Genomic DNA, 6,341 nt, shown 5'->3' with positions numbered 1-6,341 from the left:
TCCTGACTCAGCCTCCCATGTAGCTGGGATTACAGGCACGAACCACCACGCCTGGCTAATTTTTGCATTTTTAGTAGAGACGGGATTTCACTGTGTTGGCCAGGCTGGTCTCAAACTCCTGACCTCATGTGATCCAGCCCGCCTCAGCCTCCCAAAGTGCTGGGATTAAGGCGTGAGCCACTGCACCTGGCCCACATACAGTTTTTAAATATTTTTAAAGTGAAAACACTTTGTTTAAAACCTACTTCATAAATTGACAGGTTATTTGGAATATATGTTAAGCAGATATCTCTTTCACCAAACTAGTAAGCAATGTTGATCTATACCATGTATCATTTTATAGAACTGGCTATTAGTATATATGATAAAAGAGAATTGATCCTTTGTTTGTATACATCTATGTGTATGTAGATATATAGCTGTTCACTTTTTCGTATTTCAGGAGTTACACTGTTTGTGATATGGTACATGACCTGGTCAATCTTAGGCTCTGAAGCTCTCCCTGGTGGAAATTTATTTGGATTGTTAATTATTTTTTATAGTGCCATTATTGGGGGAAAAAATTTACAACTCATTAGAATACCTTTAGTGCCGCCATTTCCACCTCTTCTTGGTAAGCATATAATTAGCTCTCTTTTCTTTATTATTGACTATATGCAAATTTTGAACATTTTCTTGTTGAATTAGTTATAATTCAGCAATATTTCAATGTAGTATGTTTTATATAGTTTCTTCATGTGTGTATTTACTGCGTGTGTGTGTGTGTGTACAGATCCTTTATATGGGCATTTATTTCTCTCTCTGTCTACATATATACACACACAAGTTTTACCCAAAATTTATTTTTGAAATAAATTTAATATCCTTAGCACATTATTCCTGTTGCTTTTTTGTTTAATAGAACCTTTAAAAATTTTAGATTCACGGAGTACATGTGCAGGTTTGGTACATGGATATATTGCATAATGGTGAGATTTGGGCTCTAGTGAACCCATCACCAAACAGTGAATACTATACCCAATAGGTAATTTTTCAACCTTAACCCTCCAACCCTCTCTCCTTTTGGACTCCCCAGTGTCTATTATTTCCATCTTTATGTCCATATGTACCCATTGTTTAGCTCCCACATATAAGTGAGAACATGTGGTATTTGAGTTTTCTGTTTCTGAGTTATTTCACTTAGGATAATGGTGTTCAGCTCTATCCATGTTGCTACAAAGGACATGATGCCATTCTTTTTTATGACTGCATAGTATTCCATGGTGTATATGTACCACATTTTCTTTATTTAGTCATTTAGGTTGATTGCATGTCTTTTTATTGTGAATAGTGCCACAATGAACATATGTGTGTGCATCTCTTTATGGAAGAATGATTCACATGTTTAACCATCCTTGTATTTCTGGAGTAAAACACACTTAACTATATTATCTTTTTGATGTACTATAGAATTCATTTTGCTAGTTGAGAATTTTTGCATCTATGTTCATCAGGGATACTGACCGGTGGAGTGTGTGTGTGTGTGTGTGTGTTTGTGTGTGTGTATGGCTTTGCCTGATTTGGGTATAATTGTGATACTAGATTCATAGAATGTGTTAGGAAGGTAGTCCCTCTTTGATTTTTTTGGATTAAGTTTCAATCACCTTTGACCCTGAACTACTGTTCTAGTGGATTGTACAATGACCCTGAACTAGTGGATTGTACAATGAAAAAATGAATGAATATAAATTATTGTAAAATAAAATTTTGTTAAGTATATGATAACCATACAAATGCAAAACAATAAACAATGTGATATGAAAACTCTCAGCCACCTACCATATTTGTGTTTGTTTTTGAGCTGCATAGTGGGAGGAGGTGCTCCTTACAATTTTCACTTTGTAAACATTTATTCTTTGATTTTAACCATCACTGCTATAACCACCATCACTCGTGGATTCACCAAAAATTAAGTAAAGAATTATCTTATTTGTTTTTATAAAACTTTGTAAAATGTATGTAGAGCTCACATTTATTTCATTGTTTAATACTAGAAGTGTTTTGGATCTTTATTTAGAAGTTTGGTGATGTTTTGTGACCAGAAATATGCTGTAGGAAATTCACTCTTCTTTATATCACTTAGCCTATGTTAAATTGGTTTTGTTATATACCATTTTACTCAAAGTTGCCATTTCCAATCACCTATCGATGATGTTAAGTGAGAACTTACTGTATTCAAATATGTCTAAATATTCAGTACAGTGGGCCAGGCATGGTGGCTCATGCCCATAATCCCAGTACTTTGGGAGGCCAAGGCAGGAGGATCACCTGAGCCCAGGAGTTCAAAACCAGCCTGGGCAACATAGCAGACCTTCTCTTTACAAAATATTAAAAATTTTTCTGGGTCTCAGCTACTCAGGAGGCTAAGGCAAGAGGATCACTTGAGCTCAAGAGTTTAAGCCTACAGTGAGCCATGTTTGCATCACTGCACTCACCTTGGGCAACAGAATGAGACCCTGTCCCCAAAAATAAATATATATTCAGTACACTGTCAGTAGAGATAATCTCTACATCTTATCTCTGCTGTCCCTTCTGTATCCACAGTTTTCTTGCAGCACCTTCCAAGTATTTATTGAATCACTTTCCTCCTCTCCAAACTTTCTCTTTTGCTCTAGCTTGGGCTATTTGTTTCCAACTTTTGCGTGGACTGTGGCAGAGCCTTCAATTTGGTCTCTGTCTCCAGTTTTATCCCTAACTAATTCACCAAGACCCTCATATAAAAATCGCAAGACTCATTATGTTACTTCCTGCCTAAAACCTTCCCATGGTGCCTTACTTTGCCAAAGTCGGGGGAGACCTTTCTATGATCTGGCCCACCAAGCTCATTCTCCTCCCTCCTTTCCTTGCCCTGTATATTCCAGCAACACTAAATTACTTGTTGAACCCCATTTAGGTGTATTGTTTCTTATCGCCATTCCTTTATTCATGCTGCCTTCTCTACTTGCTTGTAACCTGCCCTTTACCAAAATAATGAGAGACATAGTGCATTAGAAAATAAAGTAAACATTTCTGTTTTCTTTCTCAGAAAAATGAACTGTCAAGTATGTTTATTTTCTTTCTTTTAAGGGATGTTACTGGCTGGTTTTACAATTAGGAATGTTCCATTCATCAATGAACATGTCCATGTTCCTAACGCATGGTCTTCAATTTTAAGAAGCATTGCCCTTAACATTATTCTAATACGAGCTGGGCTTGGACTCGATCCACAGGTAGATTTACAATTACAAATCGAGTAAGGTTATTTCAAATATTAGAGGATGGTGAGAAAGAAAAATAAGCAAAAATTTTATTTACCTGTTCCAAGTGGAGTCTGTAAACAAACCTAAGATAAAGAAAAATAGGCCGAGCATGATGGCTCATGCCTGTAATCTACAAAAATTAGCCGGGCATGGTGGCATTTACCTGGTAATCCCAGCTACTCTGGAGGCTGAGGCAAGAGAATCGCTTGAACCTGAGTGATAGAGGTTGCAGTGAGCTGAGATAGTGCCACTGCAATCCAGCCTGGGGGACAGAGTGAGACTCTGTCTCAAAAAACAGAACAAAACAAACAAACAAATGTTTTATAAGAAAAACCTGTGGTGGGGTGTGGGGAGGGGGGAGGGATAGCATTGGGAGATATACCTAATGCTAGATGACGAGTTAGTGGGTGCAGCACACCAGCATGGCACATGTATACATATGTAACTAACCTGCACAATGTGCACATGTACCCTAAAACTTAAAGTATAATTAAAAAAAAAGAAAAAATGTCACATACAGAAAAAAAAAAAAAAACTTATACAATTCTTTTTATTTTTTTAGGGAGATTAAGGATTTCAGTAATTTTTTATTATGTTTTCTCTACAGGATTATGTTCCTGATTATCTTTGCATTATTGTAAAATCTAATCTTTTAAAGCATTTCTTAAAATATTACATTCTAGGGATCATAAATCCCATCTATAAGAAGATGACTATTCATGAATATGACAGCCACTCAAATAAATGTGGCAAATGTGGTTTAATAGAAATAGCTCAAGAGCATAAATAATTATAGCCAATGAGATTATATTCTCCAGTAGAAAGTATGAACCAAGGAGAAAATTGAAAAGTTCTCTCTTTTAAAATGAATTATGCAGTTTTTAAGTTATTTTCTTTGGCATGTTAGTATTGTATTTATACTTATCACGTTAATCAAACAGTTCATATCAAAAAGTCAATGGGAAAACACTAATAGGACACTATTATTATACTATGTATTAGGAAAGTTCAGGAAGGTAGCATTAGCTATTTAATCACAGTAAAATTGGTCTTTTAATAATTAAAATACAATAATATTTTATGAAAGATGAAATTGTTTATAATCCAACCTATGATGACATATAAAATATAATAGAGTTCAAAGTCCAGTGGGACAATCTGTTGAAATGAGATTTTGTTTAGTGAAACTTCTTATGAAAAAAGACTTTATAGTCCAACATTTGTTAAAATAATTTTCTTTTTGGCCATTGTAAATGTATCAAATATGACTGTTTTGTGTTTCAGGCTTGGAGGCATTTGAAGGTGGTTTGTTTCAGATTGGCTGTAGGTCCATGCCTTATGGAGGCAAGTGCAGCTGCTGTTTTTTCCCACTTCATTATGAAATTTCCCTGGCAATGGGCAATTCTATTAGGGTAATTTATTTCTCATTTTTTCTTATGAAAATATTCAATTAAGGATGCTTGGTTAAAACTGTTAAAATATTCAGAATATTGTATAGAAAAGCTCTATTAAAATTCATTTCACAGTGTTAAAATCCTTGGAAAGCAGTTGATTAAAAGCAGAGCATGTCCCAAATTGCACGAAATTTTTTTAACAAACATTCATAGCCCCTAAATGTTTATCATCAAGAAAATTCACGTGATCAATTTATTCCTTTTCATCTGTATTATATCTGTATGTTTTAATCTATCTAATGGCCTATTCCTCATAACTATATGTAAATACAGTTGCACATTTCATATATATGTATGTGTATATATATATTTGAAAAACATTTTATATAGACATAGGTGTATAAATATAAACTCTCCCATTTTAAAGAAAGCAAGCAAACAAAAACTCTTGCCGTATATCCAATGCCCCATCCATCTTTATCTACCATCCATTTGTCTTATGTTTGAATTCCTCAAAATAAGTCTCTAACTACTGTCTCTAGATCCTAACTCCTTTTCATTTCTTAATTCAGCAAATTTTGTCTCTGCTTATCCATTCCAATGACACTCATAGCAAAGTTCATCCATTACATAGTTACTACAAAATCCAGTGAATTTTTAAATTAATGTTTATAATAAAATACTCAAATGTACTTTTATTTTAAAAATTAGAACTTTATAAATAAAGGAGGAATGACCTTAAACTATGCCTTCAAATCATAATGCCCATAACTCCACCCAAAGTGACAACTCTTAGGAGTTTTTTTCTTTTCCAATTTTTATTTTGGCTCAAGGGGTACATCAGCAGGCTTGTTATATGGATAAATTGCATGTCACAGGGGTTTGGTATGCAGATTACTTTGTCACCCAGGTTGTAAGTATAATACCCAATAGGTAGTTTTTCTATTCTCCCCCTCCTTCCACCCTCCACCCTCAAATTCACCTAGTGACGATTGTTCCCTTCTTTCTGTCCATGTGTACTCAGTGTTTAGCTCCCACTTATAAGTGAGAATATGGGATATTTGGTTTCCTGTTCCTGCATTAATTCACTTTGCATAATGGCCGCAACTCCATCCACGTTGCTCCAAAGGACATGATCTCGTTCTTTCTTATGGCTGTGTATTATTCTATGGTGTATATGTGCCACGTTTTCTTTATCCAGTTCACCATTGATGGGCATTTAGGTTGATCTCATGTCTTTTTTATTTTTTTCATTAGTTTTTAAGGAACAGGTGGTGTTTGTTTACATGGAAAATATTTTTAGTGGCAATTTCTGAGATTTTGGTGCACCCATCACCAGAGCAGTGTACACTGCACCCAAGGTGTAGTCTTTTATCCCTCACCCTCCTCCTACTCTTCCCCCTAAGTCCCCAAAGTCCATTGTATCATTCTTATGCTTTTGCATCCTCATAGCATAACTCTCACTTATAAGTCAGAACATACAATGTTTGGTTTTTTCATTCCTGAATTACTTCACTTAGAATAATGGTGTCCGACTCCTTCCAGGCTGCTGTGAATGCCATTATTTCATTCCTTTTTATAGCTGAGTAGTATTCCGTCCATGGTCTGTGTGTGTATATATATACACACATACATATATATATATATACATATATACACATATATGTGT

General features: G+C 35.0%; 1 pseudogene; it reads left to right on the top strand.

The window, feature by feature from the left end:
- The window catches only part of SLC9B1P3 (solute carrier family 9 member B1 pseudogene 3), a 48,295-nt pseudogene continuing 42,388 nt past the window's right edge, over positions 435-6,341 (top strand).

This window comes from Homo sapiens, chromosome 10 (assembly GCF_000001405.40).
Source record: "Homo sapiens chromosome 10, GRCh38.p14 Primary Assembly".
Classification (NCBI taxonomy): Eukaryota; Metazoa; Chordata; class Mammalia; order Primates; family Hominidae; genus Homo; species Homo sapiens.
The sequence above is the reverse complement of the archived record's forward strand: the minus strand, read 5'-3'. Positions and strand labels throughout refer to the sequence as shown.